This window comes from Homo sapiens, chromosome 2 (assembly GCF_000001405.40).
Source record: "Homo sapiens chromosome 2, GRCh38.p14 Primary Assembly".
In the NCBI taxonomy this organism is placed as follows: domain Eukaryota; kingdom Metazoa; phylum Chordata; class Mammalia; order Primates; family Hominidae; genus Homo; species Homo sapiens.
The window spans coordinates 16,741,854-16,765,185 of NC_000002.12; positions in this window are offsets into that span (position 1 = coordinate 16,741,854).

The window sequence follows — 23,332 nt, forward strand, 5'->3', positions numbered from 1 at the left end:
CAAACCACAAGGCATGTTTTTTTATTTTTCTTTTTTGCTGCTGAGCCAAGCTCTTCTTTTTGATTTCAATAATGATTTATCCCTAGGGAAATGGAGACAAAAGCTTTCAACATACAGAGCTGGAGGCATTTTTTAACCATAAATGTATTGCATTAATATATGTTTAACGCATTATTCAACTTGGGAAAGCAAGAGTCTGAAACCCTGTCAATTTAGGTACAATGTAATTGTGGCATATTGGGAAGACCATAGCCTGTGCAGGAGGAATGACATTGGGACACAGACCCTGCCTCAACCAGTCTCCTCCTGGGAGCCACAGGCCAGGCCCTGCTTCCAGAGACTTGGCTTATAAGATTCTCTGAAAGGGAGCCAACAGATAGTTGGCTTTGAAATTATGCAAAAAGAAAATCTTAAAGGATGCTAAACTGAGATTTTCTGTATTAGTTTTTGCTGAGGTTCCGAAGAATGACACCAAAAAACTAGGTGGCAAGCAACCATGCATGGCATATGAAGAAATTGCAAATTCAGTTTTTCAGTTCTTAGCCTAAAAGTAATAGGGAAGTGGCCAGGGGCAATTTCTTTGCAGAGATATTTGGCTGAATATCACTCCCAGCTCATGGGAGAGAGAAAGGGGCCATTTTCCCACCACTTACCTAAAACCAAGGAAGGAATTATCAAGAAACCCACTAGGAGCTTGATCCATGACCCTCTGGAATTTGAGGGAACCATACGAACTTGCACCTGACTCAGAATAGAGATCATGGCTGATACTGCAGCCTGTAGGGTGGGTGGATGGGGCAGGGGCTGAGGGAGAGGCTGGGAGGAGAAAGAACATAGAGAGGAGGGGAAAAGCTGTAAATTCCACAAAGAGTCCATGAGCTTTTGTTTTAGACTTAAATAAGCTTTTATTTGGTTTATTTATTGAAGAACACTGGAAAAGTTGAAGCTAGCCTGAGACTTTATGCAGGGTGGTGATAGGAGGAGAAATGCACAGATGCTGAAAGCTGCGTCTCCTAGTCTTAAAGAGAAATGATGAGAAAGGATGAAGTGGCTTTCTGTTTGTACCGTACAGGTGCCAGCCCATTCAATAAACTGGTTACAGGGTGTTAGGGAATGAATTGTGTCCTGTCAAAATTTAGATATTAAAGTTCTAACCCCCAGTGCCTCAGAGTATGACTGTGTTTGGAGATACAGTATTTAAATAGACAATTAAGGTAAAATGAGGCCATGTGGGTGAGTCTTAATTCAGTATGATTTGTATCCTTATAAGAAAAGAGAATTAGGGGCTGGGCACGGTGGCTCACACCTGTAATCCCAGCACTTTAGGAGGCTGAGGCAGGCAGATCACAAGGTCAGGAGATCAAGACCATCCTAGCCAACATGATGAACCCACATCTCTACTAAAAATGAAAAAAAAAATAATAACTGGGTGTGGTGACACATGCCTGTAGTCCCAGCTACTCAAGAGACTGAGGCAGGAGAATCGCTTGAACCCAGGAGGCAGAGATTGCAGTGAGCCAAGATTGCGCCACTGCATTCCAGCCTGGAGACAGAGTGAGACTCTGTCTCAATAAAACAAAACAAACAAACAAACAAAACAAGGGGGTTAGGACACTGACACACACAGAGGGAAGACTATGTAGCTTTGGTCCTCAGTGCCTCAATGGACTTCACAAAACCTGCTCAGAGACAAGACTGGACTGGAAGATACTGTGAAGTCCAGGAGGACCAAAACTGTGAAGATACCAAAAGATGACCATCTATAAGCCAAGAAGAAAGACCTCAGGAGAAATCAATCCTGCTGACACCTTGGTCTTGGACTTGTAGCCTTCAGAATTGTAATAAAATTTCTGTTAAGTCACCCAGTCTGCAGTACTTTGTCATGGCAGCCCTAGCAAACTAATATATGGCTATGACTATTTTGGGACTCTAGCTGCCTGTATCTTTGGCCTGAAGAGAGGTGGAGTCTCTCCAAGGATCTCTGCAAAATAACATTTCTAGGGTCTTTTAAGAGACTTGAGGTTTTGCTGCTTCTCTATATCCTCCACAACTCACTCCTTGTCATCCATTCTTGAGTGAAAGCCATTTACAGTCATCACTCATTTATCTGCATTGAGGCTATTGGATCCTGGTTGCTCTGGTACTTTGGGTTCAGATACATAGAAATTTATGCCATTTCCCCTGGATCTCAGGACTGGAAGTCAATGCCCAGGCAGGTCATGGTGGCAGGTGAAGTAGGGGGCTGCCTGTGGTGTGGTAGTTTAGGACAGATGGACAAGCCTACAGCCACCAAGTCACCAACTCAAACCAAACTGAACCTAAAACAAAGTCCTTACCCACTTGCTCGCTGATTCTGATAATGCTTTCCCTGGAGTTTCTTCACTCCTTTCCACAATGTCCAGAGCTAGAAGGAGCCACAGAGCCTACTCCATCCATCACAATGACACCTGATACACAATCTCCATTCATTCATCTACTCACTTACCTAACAAATGCAAATAAACCAATAAAACAGGGATGAGATATGCAAACAAACAGAATTTGTATTTTTCCATGAGTTCTTCCAAACAATTTCTTTCTAGGCCCAAAGAGTGCTTCTAAGGGGAAAGAAGTTTCCAGAAAAAATAATCTGCATTTCCAAGTGGCTGACGAGGAGGCTTGGTCTGGTTGATTTCAAGGGTGTCTCACAAGCTTGTTCTGCTCAGAGACCAGGCTGAACTGGAGCCAGTACTGTGAAGTCCAGTGAGGACCAAAGCCACAGCCACACATGCAGCAGAAGAGCAAAATTCTGTCCTCTACTGGTGCCTCCAGCCATGATGCCAGGATGCAAAGGCATCCAGCTTTCCAGGATCCCTTCAGGGTTGCAGTCATGAGCAGGCACATTGCCTAAGCACCTGGTATTGCTAGGACCTATGCCAGGAAGATTTTCTTGTTGCCCTTAATTCAATGCAAGAGCCCTGGAAGGTTGGTAGCAGTATCCCTCACCATATAAATGAGGAACATGGTATCCAGAGAGGGTAAAGAATTTATTCAAAGCCACCTCATTAGTTTTAAATAGCACAAGCCAAGCCAATGTACCCTACTGTTTTGAGGCCAAGAACAGTGCCCGTTCTTTAACCCAACACTGAGGGATCCTGGAGCTGTGGATGATTTAGGAATCGCTCGCTCACAAATTTTAGTGACAGGTTCATATGCTGAGAAAAGAAAAAGTATAACAAACCTCTAAACACCTGTGCCTCTTCACATGCCTGGCTGGGCTCCACGGGCATGACTCTCACTGGGTTGGCACATCTAATGGCACTTTTGTCATTTGGTGCACTGTGGGCTCCTCAGGATGACTTCTTGCCACCTCTGGTTGCCTGACTAGAACACAAATCTTCAGCTGTCTAAATTGACCCCAAGAAGATAGACCTTGCTCAAGCTCAGCCAGAGAGAGGGGTTGGAAAGTTGGCAGGTGGAGTTGGAGCCACAGTTTTCTTTCTGTGGCCTGAGACATCTGTGACTCCCTCCAGAGGACCTGCCTCCAGGCATTAGGTGGGTGTTGGCTGGTGGGGATGTTGGGGGTGTGGAGTGTTAGGCTCGGCAGTCGTTCCTAGGAATGAAATATCATGGGCAGCAGTCCTGGAACCAATCCATTGATTCATTTTCCTGCTCGCCAGGATGACAGCCCCCTCTGAGCATGGTCCCTCAAGAGCAGACCGACGTCTTCACAGCACAGAGGTGCAGTCCTCTTCTGCTACCAGGCCTGGCTGGGGAAAATTCAGCTAGACGCCTGGCACCATGCAAACCACAGGCTCTTCTTATGCAAGCTCAGAGCCTCTGAGTCACCTGTCCTCTCTCAAATGTCTCTGCTATTTCGTGGTTCTCTTACCAGAATAAGACACCTTCTCAACACCTCACTGCTTCCTCTCCTACTGAACCATGACTCTCTCCCCTCTGTATTTGCTGACCTGTGGGAAACAATTTCCCAGACCCATTGGATTCTTTATGGAATATTCTATCTCCTGAAGTGGTCAAGCCTGATTATCCCTGAAGACACAACTTCCAGCTGCTTCTTTTGTGGCATCTGCTGACTCTCCCTGAACCCACCTGTGTCAGATTAGGGGTGGGTTGCATCTGTGGTAGATGCTGGTGGTGTCTTCCTTAGATCCGTTTTCCACACTGGGTGACAATCCCAAAGTGCTGTAAGTGTGGGCCAGCAACTACTCACAGCTGGCCCTTTTTCTCCAGAACTTCCCTTGACCACACAGGGCCAGCTTGTGGCAGTGACTGACAGAGGGCTGACGTGGGGCTGCAAAAGGCTTGTCCCTGCCTCAGAGCCAACTGTGCCCATTTCATAGCACAATTTGGGCTCCGGAACTGAAGTTTGGGTCCAGGCAAAGCCCCATCCTGCTTGATTCACTACCCTGAGAGCACTCCCTCAATAATCACTTTCCTAGGAGTCCTGGTCTCAGGCTGTGCTTCTAGGGAAACCAACTAAGACAGCATCCTCCTTGCCCCTCAGGGTCACAGTTAGTCTCACTTGGATATTGCCATCAATTGGAGCTTCTGTCCTTCAAGTTCTCAATTCGAACACACAACTCTTAGCCCATAGCCTTCTGCATTTCACACATCTCATTTCTTCCTTCACCCCTCATCGTTGGGTGCAGCAAAACTGTGCCTTGACCCTGCTACCCTTATGAAACCCATTCTGCCATCCTTCCCTCCCTCCTGCCCTGCCCCTCCCCTCCCTCCCTCCCTTTCTTCCTTCCTTCCTTCCTTCTTTTTTTCTTTCCTTCCCTTTTCCCTCCCTCCCTCCCTCCGTCCCGTCTTCCCTCCCCACCTCCCTCCCTCCTTCTTTCCTTCTTTCTTCCTTTTTCAACCTGGGCTTTAGGGTCCATCCATTCAAGCATCTCTGTCATGTCCTTAAGTTTTTCTCTTGCTAATTTTTTTGTTGCATTTTCCTCAGCCTGAACTCTGCATTGATGCAACTGTCTCTGAGATTCACTAGGACCTCTGGAGAAATTCATACCACTATGCGGATTGCTGCCTGAGAACATTCATGGTCTCAACTTGAAGCTGTCGAGCAATCTTTCTGTTTCTGGAGTCAACTTTCTTACCCATAGTAGCTATTTAAAACCTTCCTGACAATTCTCAAAGTTCCCACCCACCACTTCCCACTCCTTCCCTGCAGATAACCTTATCTTCTACTTACAGAGAAAATAAGTAGCAGCAGATATCATCTTTCTCTACTTCCTGCCTTCATACCTATGAGCTTCTGATATCCATTCCGATCCTTTGAAAATTCCCTCCCTACAGCCAAAAAAAAAAAAAAAACAAACAAACAAAAACAAAAACAAAAACAATAAAAACCTTTTTCTCCCTGTGCTGTCAGTCTAAAACCTCTGCCTAAGATTCCATTCCATCTCTCTTGCACTTTCTCGAAGCCTCGCCCATTGATCCTGCTCCCTTTGGCTTGCCTTTGAATCTTTCCTTTTCCTGGAGCATCCCCTTTAGCTCAAGTCAATTCCATTCTTTATCTACTCTGAGTACAGCCCCATCTCTCTTTCTCCTATGTCTATGCCATCTGGGTTTCACCCACAACTAACCTGAAACTGCGTTCACTAGGCCCCAAACATCTCAATGAAGCTAAACCCTGCAGCCACTGCTCAGGACCTGCTGGCTGCACTGTGGCTTTCATCACTGCATGCAATCCCTTCGTCCTTGACCCCTCTCTTCTTTTGCGTTACTCCCCAGATTAGTCTCAAGACACTTTGGCCCTTTCTTTTGAGGCTTTTTTTTTAGGAACTCATTTTTTGTACCTAAATTTTGTGTCCCTGATCTTCTTCACTTTGTCCCAAGATGTGTTTGGGGGCATGTCCTCCACCCCATGAGGCACTTCCTCCACCCCCTTATGGAAGATTTTAGATTTCCCAGCATTGATGGCTCACACACGGCTTTAGATTACTACATTAATCACCTACTGGATATTTCTACTCAGAAATCTCACAAACACATCAATCACAGCATACTAAAAATGGAACTCATTGTGGTTTACCTAGGACATCTTTCTCCTTCTGTGTTCTCAACCTTGGTGGGTGTAGTGAATTGAATGGTGTATTAGTCAGGGTTCTCTAGAGGGACAGAACTAATACATTCATATATATAAAGGAGAGTTTATTAAGTATTAAGTCACACGATCACAAGGTCCCATAATAGGCTATCTGCAGGCTAAAGAGCAAGAAGAGTCAGTCCAAATTCCAAAACTGAAGAACTTGGAGTCCGATGTTCAAGGGCAGGAAGCATCCAGCACTGGAGAAATATGTAGGCTGGGAGGCTAGGCCAGTCTCTCTCTTCGCATTTTTCTGCCAGCTTATATTCCAGCCATGCTGGCAACTGATTAGATTGTGCCCAACCAGATGAAGGTTGGGTCTGCCTTTCCCAGCCCACTGACTCAAATGTTAATCTCCTTTGGTAACACCCTCACAGACACACCCAAGATCAATACTTTGTATCCTTCAATCCAAGTAAGTTGACAGTATTAACCATCAGAAGTCCACCCCTTGTCAACTTGAACTCATACACATCTCTTGAGATCATACATAATCTTCAAGTAAAGACAGTAATGGGGTCATAATTATGCCTAACATAAGACAACTATCCTTTGTACAACTGGAAATGCACCAATTCCCAACCCAAATACCACTACATAAAGTTAACAATACTTCAATGCTGTTGTGAAGTCAATAAATCTTATATCACATAATAAAGGAGAAAGAAAATAAAATGAAGATATTTTCTTAGTACAAGTGTATACATTCACAAACATGTTTTTAACAAAAAAGGAGGAAATACTCATGACTTTCTGCAGCTAGTCACGTGGTCATAGCTGGTACTGATGACCATCTTCTTCTACTACCCATTCTGTATTCCCTTTGCACTCAGCAAGCACCACTGCAAGTCATGGTTTTTTTCCTGGTGGACTGACCCAAACCTTCATTCCTGAAGGGTCTGGGTCATTTGTAGTCCTGCCTGGATTGGGCTGTTGTAGTTTCCCACTGACCTTAATCAAAGGGCATGGTAATACTAAGAGATGCCCTAATAGATCTCCTGTATTCCACACATACTCTTCCTTACCTCCTTTGTGGTGTAGTAGACTGATTTCATCTTGATAGTTCAGGTTAATCACCCCAGCCAACACTGTAACTCCCTTCTTAGCCTGTTGACTTAAAGATTGGAGGAGCCCAAAGTGTCCAGGTGGCAATCTTAACTTCCAGTTTAATGGAATTGTTGTTGTGTCTCCTGGTGGCAGTGTTCCTCCCTCTGGAACTAATACCTCTAGGCCAGCAGAATGCAATGTCACAGGAACAGGAAGGAAAAATTTTGCTAGTGGATTGCTAGGGGTGAGGGTGAGGGGTGCTACTTCCACTTCCACTTCTTGATTCCTGGAAATCCTGGCTATGGGAGAAACAGTACCATATATTGGATGCTCATTCAGAGCGTACATAGCCTTCTGGAGAACTTTGCCTCAGCCCTGCAAAGTATTGTCACCTAGTTGGCATTGAAATTGTGACTTCAAAAGGCCATTCCACCGTTCTATCAATCCAGCTGCTTCAGGATGATGGGGAACATGGTAAGACCAGTGAATTCCACGAGTAAAAACCCACTTCCACACTTCTTTAGCTGTAAAGTGAGCTCCTTGGTCACAGGCAATGGTGTATGTAATACCATGACGGTGGATAAGGCATCCCTGAGTCCATGGATGGTAGTCTTGGCAGAAGCATTGCATGCAGGATAGGTAAGCCCATATCTGGAGTAAGTGTCTATTCCAGTGAGGACAAACCTCTGCCCTTTCCATGATGGAAGAGGTCCAATATAACCAACCTGCCACCAGGTGCCATATCCAGGACTCAATATTGGTGTCTGCTGCTGGCAACTTGGACACTCAGCAGTGGCCGTAGCCAGGTCAGCCTTAATGAGTGGAAGTCAATGTGGCTGAGCCCATGCATAACCTTCATTCCTGCCAGCATGGCCACTTTGTTCATGGGCCCATTGGGTGATGACAGGGGTGGCTGGAGAAAGTGGCTGAGTGGTGTCCACAGAAAAGGTCATCCTATCCACTTGATTAGAAAAGTCTTCCTCTCCTGAGGTCACTCACTGGTGAGCACTCACATGGGATACAAATATGTTCAGTTTTCAATCACTCACAGAGGTTCATTCACATACCTCTTTCCCAAATTTCTTTGTCACCAATTTTTCAATCATGCTTCTTTCAAGACCCTGACCATCCAGACAAACCACTGGCTACAGCCCGTGAATCAGTACGTAATCGCACCTCTGGCCATTTCTCCTTCCATGCAAAGTGCACAACCAGGTGCACTGCTTGAAGTTCTGCCCATGTGGAAGAGTTCCCTTCACGACTGTCCTTCAGGGATGTCCTAGAAAAGGGTTGTAGTGCTGCAGCTGTCCTCTTTTGGGTGGTGCCTCCACATCGTGCAGAACCATCTGTGAACCACACCCTAATCTTCTCTTCTTTTGTCAACTGATCATAGGGAACACCCCATGAGGCCATAGGTGCAGGCTGGGGGAGATAAGGCAGGGTGGCAGGAGCGGAGACCATGGGCATTTGAGCCACTTCCTCATGTAACTTACTTGAGCCTTCAGGACCTGCTCGAGCCCAATCACCTATATATCACTTCCATTTGATGATGGAATGCTGCTGTGCATGACCCACTTTATGGCTCAATGGGTCAGAAAGCACCCAGTTCATAATAGGCAGTTCAGGCCACATGGTGACTTGATGACCCATAGTCCAACATTCAGTTTCCACCAAAGCCCAGTAACAGGCCAAGAGCTGTCTCTCAAAAGGAGAGTAGTATCTGCAGAAGATGGCAGGGTCTTGCTTCAAAATCCTGGAGGCTTCTGCTGTGATTCACCTATGAGGGCCTGCCAAAAGCTCCAAACAGCATCCTTATCTGACACTGACACCTCAAGCACCATTTAATCTGTTGGGTCATATGGCCCAAGTGGCAGAGCAGTTTGCACAGCAGCCTGGACTGTTACAGAGCCATCTCCTGTTTTGTACCTTACTCAAAACTAACAGCCATTCATGTCACTTGTTAAATGGGCCAGAGTAACACACCCAAATGAGGAATGTGTTGCCTCAAAAATCCAAATAGGCTGACTAGGCATTGTGCCTCTTTCTTGATTATAGGAGGGGCCAAATGCAGCAACTTATCCTTCACCTTAGAAGGAATATCGACAGGCTCCACACCATTGGGCCCCTGGAAGTTTTACTGAGGTAGAAGGTCCTTGAATTGTAGTCAGATTTATTTCACATCCTCTGGCATAAACCATTAAGTCCAGTGTGTTTGCTACTTCTTGCTCACTGGATCCAATCAGCGTAATGTCATCAGTGTAATGGACCAGCGTGATATCTTGTGGAAGTGAAAAGAGATCAAGGTCTCTCCGAATAAGATTATGACAAAAAGCCAGAGAGTTGATATACCCCTGAGGTAGGACAGTAAAGGTCTATTTCTGGCTTTGCCAACTGAAGGCAAATTGCTTCTGGTGGGCCTTATGGACAGAAATGGAGAAAAACATATTTTCCAAGTCAATGGCTGCATACCAGGTACTAGGAGGTGTGTTAATTTGCTCAAGCAATGAAATCACATCTGGTACAGGAGCTGCAACTGGAGTCACCACTTGGTTAAGCTTATGATAATCCACTGTAATTGTCCAAGATCCATCTTTCTTCTGCACAGGCCAAATGGGAGAGTTGAATGGGGATGTGGTGGGAATCACTACCCCTGTGTCTTTCAAGTCCTTGACAGTGGGACTAATCTCCACAATCCCTCCAGGGATGAGATATTGTTTTTGATTTACCATTTTTCTAGATAGGGGCAGCTCTAATGGCTTCCATTTGGCCTTTCCCGCTGTAACAGCCCTCACCTCACCAGTCAGGGAGCCAATGTCGGGGTTCTGCCAGTTTCTAAGTGTGTCCATGCCAATTATGCATGCTGGCACTAAGGAAATGACCACAGGATGACTCCGGGGACGCGCTGGACCCACTATAAGTCAGATATGAGCTAAAACTCCATTAAGTACATGACCTCCATAAGGCCCTACTTTTACTGGAGGACTGCAAGGGCATTTTGGGTCCCTGGGAATCAACGTCAGCTTAGAGCCAGTGTCCAGTAGTTCCCAAAATGTCTGATTATTTCCCTTTACCCATTGCACGGTTACCCTGGTAAAAGGCTGGAGGTCTTCTTGGGAAAGGATGGGAGAAAGATTTACTGCATAAATTGTCAGTAATGTAGTGGGGTCTTTCCTCAAGGGGGCCCAGCCTCCCCTGCATTCAAGGGGTTCTGGGTCTGTAAACTTGCTCAAGTCTGGCAATTGATTAAGAGGCCATGATTCTCTGTTTTTATAATTCAAATTATTCTTTGTCCATTTGACCTAGAAGTGTTCTGCTAGTAAAAATTAAATGGGAATGCAGTAGGCATCTTCTCAATTTCACTTCTAGGAGCAGCACCCTGATTAATTAGCCAATGCCAGAGTTCTACACAAGTTGGACTATTCTGATTGTCACTTTGCCTCTGGTGATCATTACAGTACTTATGCCCACCTTTGCCTTTGATGGTTGAGTGCTGCCACTTGGCCCTTGCAATCTCAGGATCCAATTATTCTCACTGTATTTAATTTTTTTAGTTGAGTGACTGAGGTTCCCACCGTTAGATCTGACATATACAGAAGAGCAATTACAGGGCTCTTCAAAGATGCAGGTGCTGCCCTCACAAATTATATTTCACAAGGCATTGGTCAAGGGTATATCTTCTGGACCCCCCCAGCTGGGATGAGTAGCTCTAAAGTGACTAATCCACTCCACCATCTCAATTTTCCTCAGCCTTTGGATCCCTTCCTCTACATTAAACCAAGGGAGATCAGAGATTTCCATCTCACTCACAGTGGGCCATCTTTTAATCCATATTTCAATTAATCAAGCACATAAACTATCAGAACCTTTTTTAACTCCCTGAGATGTAACATTAAATGCAGAGTCCCTTCTTAATGGGCCCAAATTAATAAATTCAGCCTGATCCAACTCTATATTCCTTCCACCATTATCCCACACCCTTAATATCCATTCCCATGTCTGTTCTCCTGATTTCTACTTATATAAATTAGAAAACTCAAGCAATTCTTTTCAAGTGTAGTGCACTTCCTCATGGGTCACACTCTCAACCTCACCTCAAAGGGCCTACCAGGACTTTAGTCTAGCTATAGATCTAGAAGCAAACAGGGGTGGTGGGGGTGGCTCCTGAGGAGAGTCAACATTATCTTACCTGGCAACTGCCTCAGGGGAGGCCATCACTGTTGCCTCAGGCAGCACAGGCTTTATCTCCTCAGACAAAGGTGGAAAGATTGATGGGTAGGGGAGGGGATGTTGCCACTACTGGGGATGGGGAAGCTGTTCCTTCCGGCAAAAAGGGTTCATCAGAGTTTACAAACTCAGTGTCCCCAGCTTCATCAGGGTCCTCCCACACATCCCCATTCCAACTTTCAGGGTCCTATTATTTTCCAGTCAATGCCCTCACTTTAACAGTAGACACCTGGGGAGGTGGAACATGCACCTTTTGTTGCAGGTCAGCCACTCACATGATTAGAGCTTGTGTCTGTTTTCCCACAATTTCAGCTTTTTCTCTATAGGAGATAAGACTCTCAGTCAGAGCAATCTTTGCAGATTTGAGGCTCAGTATTTGCTTCTGAAGCCGGGAGACAGAATCCCTGAGTTCCTCATTTTCTTTCATCACTTTGTCCGCTGAACTTAGGAGCAACCAACCAGCTTCATTTTGTTCCTTGGTTCTCCACATATGGTCAAATGTATTATGTACAGAGTCACTAAACTCCTTGTCTCTCATGAGCGATGAATCAGGAGTGTCAAATGCATTTATTTTGCATAACTCTCTAAACAGTTCAAGCCAAGGACTATCAGTGTTCTCCATACTATTAGAAGTAGAGTCCTTACCATTTTGGGATCTAATCATATTAAGTAGCCAACTCCAGAAACCCCAAAACCAATGAAAGAACTCTATCCTTAATATTCTGTTCCTCTAGAACTACTCCTGGTACAAAATCTGTATTAGTCAGGGTTCTCTAGAGGGATAGGACTAATCTAATGGAATATATATATATAAGTTGATTAAGTATTAACTCACACGATCACAAGGTCCCACAAAAGGCCATCATCTGCAGGTTGAAGAGCAAGGAGAGCCAGTATGAGTTCCAAAACTGAAGAACTTGGAGTCTGATGTTCAAGGGCAGGAAACAGCCAGCACAAGAGAAAGATGTAGGCTGGGAAGCTAGGTCAGTCTCTCTTTTCATATATTTCTGCCTTCTCGTATTCCATCCATGCTGGCAGTTGATTAGATTGTGCCCACCCAGATTAAGGGTGGGTCTGCCTTTCCCAGCCCACTGACTCAAATGTTAATATCCTTTGGCAACACCCTCACAGATACACCCAGGACCAATACTTTGTGTCCTTCAATCCAATCAAGTTGACACTCAGTATTAACCACTGCAAATGGTGCTCCCCATAAAAGATGTACATCTGAACCTGCACATGAGACTTTATTTAGAAAAAAGGTCATTGCCATTGTGATTATGTTAAAGATCTCAAGATGAGATCATCCTGGATTAGGGTGGGCCCTAAATCCAGTGCCAAGTGTTCTTACAAACAAGAGGAGAGAAGGCCATACGCAGATGGAGGCAGAGCTCCTTTCTGGTAAGACTGAGTGTTGGTGCTAAACTTGTTAGTATGACAGTGAAGGTCCTCCAGGATCCTGACTCTGCCTAAAATTTCAGGTGTGATTGCCACCTCACCTCCTCTTTCATCCTCATGCCCTGAGTGAAGAATCCCACAGTTTTCAGACAGTAGACTCTTCCCCATGTCCCTGTCATTGCACCTACTGTTTCCTCTGACTGCTGTGTCTTGCCTGGAGTCCCCCCTCATCCTTCAAAGTGGGGCCTGCAGGGCATCGCTTCTGTGGTGCACCTGCTGTCTGTCTGCACACTTTCCCTCCTGGGCTGTGGATGCTTTGAGGGCAGGGGCTGATTGTTTTCTAGTTTGAATCTTCTGTCCTCACCCCAACAACCTTACTGAACCTACTGGTAAAAATACTCTCAATGGAATCAGAGAATCCTACTGTAGCTGGAAGGAACTTCAAGACCATCCTGTTAACCCCCTTCATTTATAGTGGTGGAGAGTGGGAATAAAAGTCCTGAGGCTAAGATAATTTAAGTCACTGGTTGTCATTTGCATCGCTGGTTGGCAATATTTTTGGGACTATCAGCCAATAGTCTTCACTTCCAGGTCATCACAGGGATCCTCACAGGGTTCAAACTAGCTCCTTAATCAGGCCTTTCAAAGAATATAATCTCCTGTTCCTGTCATGTCATTTTGGGGAAATTTTCTCAGTAGCATTTTGTCCACAGACACCCCTGGGATCCTACATCCTACCAAGAACAGAGCCCTGTGTTCAGGGCCAGGCTCAGCCCTTTGTCCCTTCCTGAGCTGTGGACATGGCCACACGTGATGGAGCTGCAGAGAGAGGTGGGCATTGCAATCCTGTTCTTAGATAGGAACTGCCTTCTCTCCCGGGAGAACTCTGCTAGTTGGAGGAGCCGCTGTGGCCTATGCAATGGTCTTGTAAAGAGTTCAGGGCCCAGATGGATCCAGCAGATGCAGAGTGATGGGACTTGGAAGGAGCCCTTCTTAAGTGTCCAGCGGCTGGCTTGTCTCCCTGAGTCCGAGCTGTGTCTTTGGTTAGAGTGAGTGTGGGTGGGGAGAGGGGGCGATCTACACCGCTTGGAGAATTGATGCAAACAGTAAGTAAAAACAACTGTGAAGGGAAACTGGTCCCACGACCCACACTGCTTCATAATCACATTTTTTTCGGCCTTTTGATTCTGGCTTCATCTCATCTGTTTGTTTTGGATGCTTCGTTGAAGCCAGCTACTCCTGAGAAATAGGAAATGACACTATGCAAACAGCTGAAGATGGGACAATCCCGAGTCATATTAAACATGGGATTTTCAAACAATTTCAACAGAAAAAAATCAGTGAACAAAGAAATAGGAAGACAAGATCTTCAAATATCCTCCACTGTTAGCCAGTGAAAATACAAACTGATTTACACATAAATTACATCTTGAGGATGTCTCTCCTGTGGATTTACGAAAAAAATAATTGTCACCACCAATGGGGCTTATTTTTCCTCTGTTGATATTGTTGCCAGGCGGTGATCCTCATTTGCTGCCTCCTTTCTATCCTGTGGCCACGGCCCTAAGTCAGGCTGCATCGACTTCCGGCAAAGCTCCTACCTGTGAGTCTGGCTCTGGTCTGATCCCATGCAGCCTCCCAACCCATCTCTGCATCAGGGTGCAGCCATGCCACTCTCCTAAGCTGTTTGATCCCTTCCTTCTCCAGCTGAAAGCCCCATGATGACCAGATAACTATCATTGCTCTGGGATAATGCAGAGCTACGGACCACTCCATACACCGGGTCTATGTGCTTCCTACCTCCCCGGCTCCTCCCTGCCTCTGTGGTATCTAACTCTTCTTTTAAAATCTAAGTCCCAGCTACCCCAATACATGTTCAGCCCTCCAAACCCCGACTCTCTCATGGCCATGCCTTTTTCCCACTGCCCTCCTACATGGATAGAGCCCTCATCCTCCTAGTGTCCTCCTGCAATGCTTGGCTCACGTGTCAGTTGTTATATGAGTCTTCCTGACCGGCCCGAGTCTCTGTGGGAATTAGGTTGAGCCACTCCAGCCTCGGTGGACCCTCCTTAGACTGTCCTGTCACCTGTAGAGCCCTGTCACCCCTTTTTATGGACCTGTCTACCTGCTGGTCAGAGAATTCCAGAAGGCGGCATCAGCTCTGCCTGAGGCACAGGACACCTGGCACAGATGAAGGGTTAAGTGGATATTTGTTGAATTTGTCAGAGAGCGAGAACAAATCTCAAGTGCGATGGTCCCTGCTCATTCCTCTCTCCAGCCCCTGCCTGCATGTGCCTCTTGTAGAGACAGCTGCAGGGCCCGCAGGCCAGAGCCCCTGGGTCAGAGCAACAACTGCCTTGTGTTTTCTCCAAAAATGAAGATTGCAAAATCCTCGTGGCCTCGAGTTCACAGCTGTGGAAAGAAACTTCACGAGGTGACGGTGGGGTCAAGGGGCCCGGGTGGGGACGTGGGGACCACAGGGCAGGAATGAGCACCCACGGAGAAATGCAGTCCCGACCCCTTCCACCCCTTCAGGTCTGGCTGTATAAACTCGGAGAGGAGGCTGCTCTTCTCAGCTTTTCCCACGTTTCAGTTTTCTCTACATCTGGTTATGTAGCAATGCCTTCTCATCCCCTGAGAGCTAGCACCCCAACATATTTACTGAACATCGGTCTGGGTTATTTGCGTGTCATCAAGCTCCAAGGGCATTCAAATGACCTTCTGGAGGATGCACAGTGCCTTGGGGAACGGCGCCACCTGGTGGTCACTCGGAGTTAATAACCACATTCTAGGGCGAGGAAGCCTAGAGCATACTGGAGGGACCAGGTGGAGGCTCAGATTAAACAATTCCTGCTGCCGCTGACACATCTGTTCCATGGTGACAGAGCTGAGTGTGTGTCCCTGGCTAGAGGCAGTGATTGGACAAGGATGGTCAAAATGTATCCTTCTGGAATCTGAGCGCTGAAGGGTGGTTTAGAGACCAATACAATCCCAACCATTCATTTCTCAGATGGGCAAACTGCAGTCCAGAGGGGACAGAGGTTACCTAAGGTCTTTCAATAAATTAGTTGAAGAGATGGGGCAATAACACAGGTTTCTGGGCTCCTTGTCTGATACTCCTCCATTCTAGCACTTCAGAGCACCTCACGGTGATGTCCGTCCTTTATTTTATTTTATTTTTTAATTTGAATTGCTGCTTTAGACGAAAAAGAAGGCCAACCCCCCGCTGCCATAAACATCTTCTTTCTCTTTCCTAAATTCATATCACTTGGTCCCGACACCAGTCTTCCTTCCTCCAGGAAGTTTTCCCTGAGCAGTTGGAAATCCTCCTTCGGAAGCTCCCAGGCAATCTACCCGATACTGATAGAGGGACCGAAGTTGACTCTGGGATATGGTGTGCACAGACACAGCCTTGCCCCCAGCAGCTTACAGTCTAGTGGGGAGAGACAAGTGACAAACACACAGACAGACAGATAGATGCAGAAATGATGGATGGATAATTTCAGGTACTAACGAGGGCTTTGAAGATGATAAATAGGGCACTGTGATAAAGAATGGCTTGGAACGGAGCTATGTCAGCTAGAGGGAACGGGAGGCTGGTCTGAAGAGGGCTTAGCTGTGGAGGACAGGCAGAAGGTGGTTATTATGAGGGGAGAGCACTCCAAACAAGAAGAACAGTAAGTGCAAAGGACCCAAGACTGGAATGAGGTTGGCAGGTCCAAGACACAGAGAAGGCTGGAGAGATAGCCGGCTAGCGGACAAGACAGAAGTCGAAGATGATGGGATCAGAAAAGACAGGGAAGGCTGGATCTGGAAGGACTAGTTGGGTTTGTATGCTGCTTGCAATGGGAGGTCATCAGTAGGCGTAGGCGGAGAGTGGCATGATCTTATGTATACCTTAAGTGGTTCGCATGTGCACTAATGCTTAGGAACTCCTGATGTAATCCCTCGGCTCCTGCAGAAAGTCTTTTCTCACCCACCAAGTTAAGGAAGGTGTCCTTCATCCGACTCCTTGAGTTAACATCTTCATGCCTCCATCGCTGGGCCTACCACCTTGCTTTCGAATCAACTGTTTATATGTCTTTTTACTTCACTGGAAAGTAAGTCCAATATTCAGAGACACAGCAGTACAAAGTCAAGATCCAGAACAGACTGTTGAGATGCAAAAACTCGCTCTACCACTTCGTAGCAGTGTGGCTTTGGACAACTTATTCATTCAGCGTGTCTTTGCTTCACTTTCTTTATCCGAAAAATGGGGCTAACAGTATCTCCTGCATTGGACCGTTATTACAGTTAAATAATATATGAAAAAAATCTCATAAAAATGGCAGGCACTATGTAATTATAAATAATAGATATCATTTCTGGGTGTTTTCTCAGGCCTCCCATTAATAAGGTTGGTCCCAGAGTCTGTCAGGGCCTCTGGCTGTGGTGTGCATTGCTCATTGAATGGGGATATGGGACTACACAGGGAAGATTATTCCGGGATACAGTTTCTGGCCTTGGAAGAAAGAGTTGGCCTGCCAACAAATGTAAGAGGCAGGGATTGTTCTTAGCTTCATTTTATAGGCAAGCTCAGAAAGGGTAGTTTGCAAAGTGACCCAGGTATTAAGTATTAAATCCAGGATGCAAATATAGGTCTGTTTCACTCAACATCCAAGGTTGTTCTTTCTAGTTTTGTTTGTTTTAATTTGATTTTAACCCCACAGCACCATGCATGGGTAACAGCTGGCCTTAGAGCAAATGTATTGCCCTAAACGATCATACTGGTGTCCGAAATCCTGCCATCAGCCATCTGCCTTGTCCATATGAGGCCCAGCTTTCTGGTAGGGGACTAGGCTCTTGGGTGCAAAGGTGTGAGTTTTAAGCTCTAGGTGACAACACGATAAATATGGAACTACAATGTCTTTCTCAGACCCTGACCCCAAAATGGAGGTAACGATCCCCATTACCTTCCAAAGGGCTAAGCCCACAGAAGCTATTAATGGTGTTCAAGCAGATTCTGGTGGCTACTCTCAGATCAGAAGAGGACCTGGGTACGCTAGCCTTTAAATTTTGAATGTGATGAGGATAAACAGCAATAAAATGAAAGTGGCATTTGAAAAAGAAATATTTTCAGAAACAGATTGAAGACTGAAATTTGCATTGTAGTTGTGTCTATCAAGCTTTCCCTTATCGTGTTTAAATTAGAACTTGCTTATACTTTTTGAATTTATAATTTGCCCTCTTTCAAAATTGCAAGGATACAAACATAGGCAGGCTTGTGCTGGGAAGTAGCAGGGCCTGGTGGTCAAGAAGAGCACAGGACCCGGAGCTTAGAGGACTGGCTTTGATCCCCAGACTTCCATTCATAGATCTGGGACCTATATGAGTTCTTCAACTCTCTTTGCCCAATTCCTCTTTGTAAGATGAGAGTGACAGTGGTACCTGCCTCCTGGTGACTGGCACTGCTTAGAAGAACACTTGGCCCATAATTTTGTTAGCGGTTATTGTTACTGTTGCTATTATTGCTCTAAAAAGTAATTTGAAGGCTGGGCGTGGTGGCTCATGCCTGTAATCCCAGGACTTTGGGAGGCCTAGGTGGGCGGATCACGAGGTCAGGAGTTCGAGACCAGCCTGGCCAACATAGTGAAACTCCGTCTCTACTAAAAACACAAAAACTAGCAGGGCGTGGTGGCGCGCACCTGTAATCCCAGCTACTGTGGAGGCTGAGGCAGGAGAATCGCTTGAAACCAGGAGGCAGAGATTGCTATGAGCCCAGATCACGCAACTGCACTCCAGCCTGGGTGACACAGCGAGACTTTGTCTCAAAAAGACAAACAAACAAACAAACAAAACAAACAACAAACAAAAACGTGATTTGAAATCTTACTAAGAAAGAAAAGAACATTACACCAGGGCTAGTGACAAAAGAATTCTTGAAATAAAGTTCCACATTTGGTTTTATGTAAAAACAGAACCCACATGTAAAACCAAGCAAAGCAAAGGAGAAGTACAGTACTTTACAAGGTTGTTATGATAAAGCACAATCTAGTTCGCTGGAAGAGTTGACTGCTGTCACAACAAAGTGACCTTGAAATTCCAGAAGTAAAGCGTCTGCCTTCAGCTGTCCTTGCCCATGTTGCTTCTGATTTTTCATTATTTGGGTTGGTGTCTTTCCCTTCAAAATCCAGCACAAGGCTGCCCCATCTCCCTGCCTCCAGTGCCATGGTCCCGCCACTGTCCCCCCTCCCCGGGATTGCTTCCCTGAGCCTCAGTCTCCTAGGTGGTCTCCCTGTTTCCACACTTGCCCCTCCGCAGTTTCTTCTCCACCCAGGAGATGAGTAAACGCCCAGGTCCTTCCAGGTCGCTAGAGCCCTGTGAGATGTGACTCTGGGCACTTCTCTGATTTCTCACATCTCCTTCCTCACTGCATTCCCACCATCCTGTGCCCTCAGTAAGGCTTATGAACCTCTGCAAACAAGTGGGTCCAAGGGCTTCCTGGGAGCTGTAATAATTTGCTCCTTCCCTTTCCCTTTCCTAACATTTCCTCTTGTTTTCTTCTCTTCTCTCTCTGTGGTTTTTATTCCTCAGTTACTAAATTACTGATTGTGTTTCTCAACCAAAGTGGAGTTCGGTTCTCTTGGTATAGCAAATGGACACACCCATTCCCCTCTGAATTAAAAGCACATTTCATAGACACGATTCAGAGGGACCCTTACAGAAAGGTTAAAGCTTGTTAAAAATAGTTTCTAAACAAGTCAGTTATGAGCTTTATATTTTTATTTCAATGAATTTGCTGCAAGAGTAGAAAATTCTTAGTCCTACAAAAGTTTATTAGAAAATTACTCAACAATTTTGTCAGAAATTCTAATTTCTTCCAAGAAGAAAGATACAAATAACTTTATATAAAAACATTCTTTCCCAGAAAGTAAATCAGTATATCAAAGGAATACCTGCACTCCCATATTTACTGTAGCACTGTTCACAATAGCAAAGATATGGAATCAACCTACACATCCATCAACAGATGGTAGATAAAGAAAAATGTGATATATATATGTATATGTGTGTATATACATATATAATCACATCTTCACAGTGTATATGTGTGTGTGTGTGTATATATATATATATGTATACATACACACACACGCACACACACACACACTGGAATATTTTCTGGCCATAAAGAAGAATGAAATGTCATTTGCAGCAACATGGATAGAACCATAGGGTATTATGTTAAGTAAAAGAAGCCAGGCACAGAAAGACAAATATCACCCGTTCTCACTCAGATATGAGAACTAAAAAATTGGGCCTCACAGAGGTAAAGAATAGAATAATAGGTACCAGAGGCTGGGAAGGAAGTTTGGGTTGGGGAAGGAGATGAAGAAAGGCTGGTTAGTGGGTACAGACGTAGTTAGATGGAAGGAATTAGTTCGAACGATAGATAGCACAGTAGGGTGATGATCGTTAACATGATATTGTATATTTCAAAGTAGCTAGAAGAGAGGACTGGAAAAGTTTCCAACACATAGAAATGATAAACACTCAAGATGATGCCCCAACTTAATCATCACACATTCTATGCATGTAACAAAATATCATATATGCCCCATCAATACATGCAAATATTATGTAACAATAAAAAAAGTTCCTTCCCAGACCAGGTTTGGTATAATTTTTCCTACTCAATGGTTTGGCAAGCACAGTTTAGATGGAATTTTACCAAAGCCCTGCTTTTCACCATGTGACCAAGTTCCCAGACTGAAAGGGTCGGCACTGAATGAGATGTTACTTTATTCATGATTTGTGCCTAGGGCAGCCATGCAGGACCCAAAGGGATTTAGATAGATGCCCCAAAGCTAGATAAGATAGATAGATTCACCAAAGCTCTGGCAGGGCAGAGAGGAGCAGACATCTGCCTCCAGGCCCAGTGAGAGAGGGTACCATCGTGTTACACATAATCGTTTCGGAGTGAAGTTCATCTTGGGTGACTGACTCTGCCCTAAAGATTCTGATTTGTCCCTTGAGTTATAATAGTAGACTGGGATCCATTTCAGGCCATGGATATTTTGTAACCTGGATTTTCTAGTTATAAGAAAATAAAATTAAATAAAATTTAGAAATTTCTATACGTAAAAACATGAGAAAATAAACTATCTACATTACGAAACCTATCTCCACAAAATAGTGGGTTAAAAAATCATAACCTGAACATTGTAGATCATTTCTTTCTAGTATTTTATGTATTTGTTTTTACCTAGCAAATAGTTGTATGTATATTAAAATTTTTTTACATTTACTTTTTCAAAATTTTTCTGTTTTAAAATAAAGTTTAAAAAGTACAGTTGTATCCAAAGCATTTTCCCTTGTTAAATAAAGTTTATTCTTTATGAAACTAATTTTTCTTTGTTTTATTGAAAGATAAATGGATTTTAAAAAAAATCTAATAGCACATAATACAGTGTAAAGTATATTTCACTCTCAGTCTAGACCCCCAGTCTTCCTTGAAAGTTATTGTGAATAAGGTACTAATGGTGAATAGGATGCTAAAATAGGGGTTTTGTCCATTTTAGCACAGGCCCTAAGCTGAGAGCAGTACCATAGTAGCAGAGTGCCTCCCGCCTAAAGCCAGGTGTGAACTCTCCCGTGCAGGGCATGCAAATAGATTGTGAAACTGATTCTGCCAAGACAGACCAACCCCAACCTCCAGCCTGGAAGAGTTGAGTTGGGCAAGCTGGGAGTTGAAGAGAGGGGTCAGAATGTTGTCAATATCAACCTCCCTGCTTGTCCCAACAAGAGGCAAAGAAGTGATTGTCTCTCACCTTAAGTGAGAGGCTTTGGCTTCAGGGCTACTTGAAAAGCTTTATTTGCATTCCCTGAAGTTTGAAGGACAGAGGGGACTATGGTCTGAAACATTCCTGAGAAACGTAAGAGCAAAGGTTACAGTCTGTGCCTGAAGCAGGAGGAGCGAGAAAGCCAGGGCTGTCCAGGGAGCAAACTGCTCTCCCACCTGCTGGGGCACAGATGAGAGACCTTTCCAAGGACCAGTGGACTCATGGGATGGAGAAGCTGGAGTCCCTTGGAAGAGCTATGTGCAGGGAGACTGTCTGGTGGAGGAGGTAGGGGTGGTGGTGTTACCAGTAGAAGGTGTCCACATTCTTGGCATTTTGAACAAGGAATTGCACAATACACACAAACAAAGCAAGGGAAGAATGAAGTAACAAAAGCAGAACTTTATAGAAAACGAAAGCACACTCCACAGGATAGGAGCTGGCCCGAGCACAGGGGCTCAAGAGCCCCTTTACAGAATTTTGGGGGTTTAAATATGCTATAGAGGTTTCCCATTGGTTACTTGGTATACATCCTATGTAAATGAAGTAGTGGCCCACAATCAGTCTGATTGATTGCTTTCTGCAACGGGTCAGTTGTGGAAATAGTTGGTTGTGGAAAGTAACTAATCAGAGGCTGAAATTACAAAGTTACCCTCCAATGCAAATGTTTGATTGGTTGCAGACAGCAACCCCCTTTTTCCAATCAGAAAAAGGGGGCAGGGGGGTGCAAAGGGAGTAGCCTCCAGTTCTTTTGTTACTTAGGTATGGAAAGTTGGGGTTTTCGTTTTGATTGAGTTACAGGAAGTCAGCGTGCCCTTAGGTTCCCGGCCTCCACACCCTATTCTGCCTCAGTGGGATCCAGCACAGTGGCGGGTTGTGCAATGTCTAGGGAATAGAGGCCTCTGTCATGTCAAGAGAGATACGGGTAGAGGTCCTCAGTAAAAGACTCTCTGAGAAACCCACAAAACATCCACCAAAGAGGGAGAGATGTTTGCCAAGGCTAGAGGGCTCAGTGCCAGGTCACAGCCTGGTAAGACTTTTCCTGCCTCCTCGCTCCTTTCCAGGGCTTCCAACCCTAGTGGGGCCTGAAATAGCAGCCTGTGAGAGGCGGAAGTCTGGAAAAGTAAATAAAACTAAACAAAAATCCACATACATGCATCTATATCTGTATCTGTGTATCTCCACATACATCTGTTATGGTCCTTTATGCATACAAACATATACACATGCACATAAATGTATGTGTATGTAAGTGTGTGTGTGTGTGTGTGCGCGTACCCCTATCATAGCCCTTACTCACTCAATCAAGGCTTCTAAGTCTGGGTGAGGCCTGCACAGAGACACAAGGACATATTGAACGTGGTTAAGAATTTGAGGTTTTCATTAATACTTTAGGTGACCTTTTTAATAATCAAAATGAGATTGCTTTCATGTGCAAAAGTGAGCTGAGGACACTTCTTTCTGTGAGTGTGACCAGAAAAGCTTTTGTAACATTGGAGAGAAAAAAATAACTCTCCATCCACCTATTTCAGTGAGTCCTGCCCATTCAGTAATGCCAGTTTCTTTTTTATTCTTCCAGAATTGTTGATTGCAAACACAAGTGCATGTGAGTGTAGAGGGACAGGCCTGCTCTCTGTATCCCTCTCCTGGCCCTCCCTGTGCTTTTGCTTTGGTCAGCAGGCTAAAGGAGGAGGTAAGGGGCATTTGCAGTCTTCTCCTGTTTGTTAGAGGAGCCAAGGCAGCTGGTGGGTAG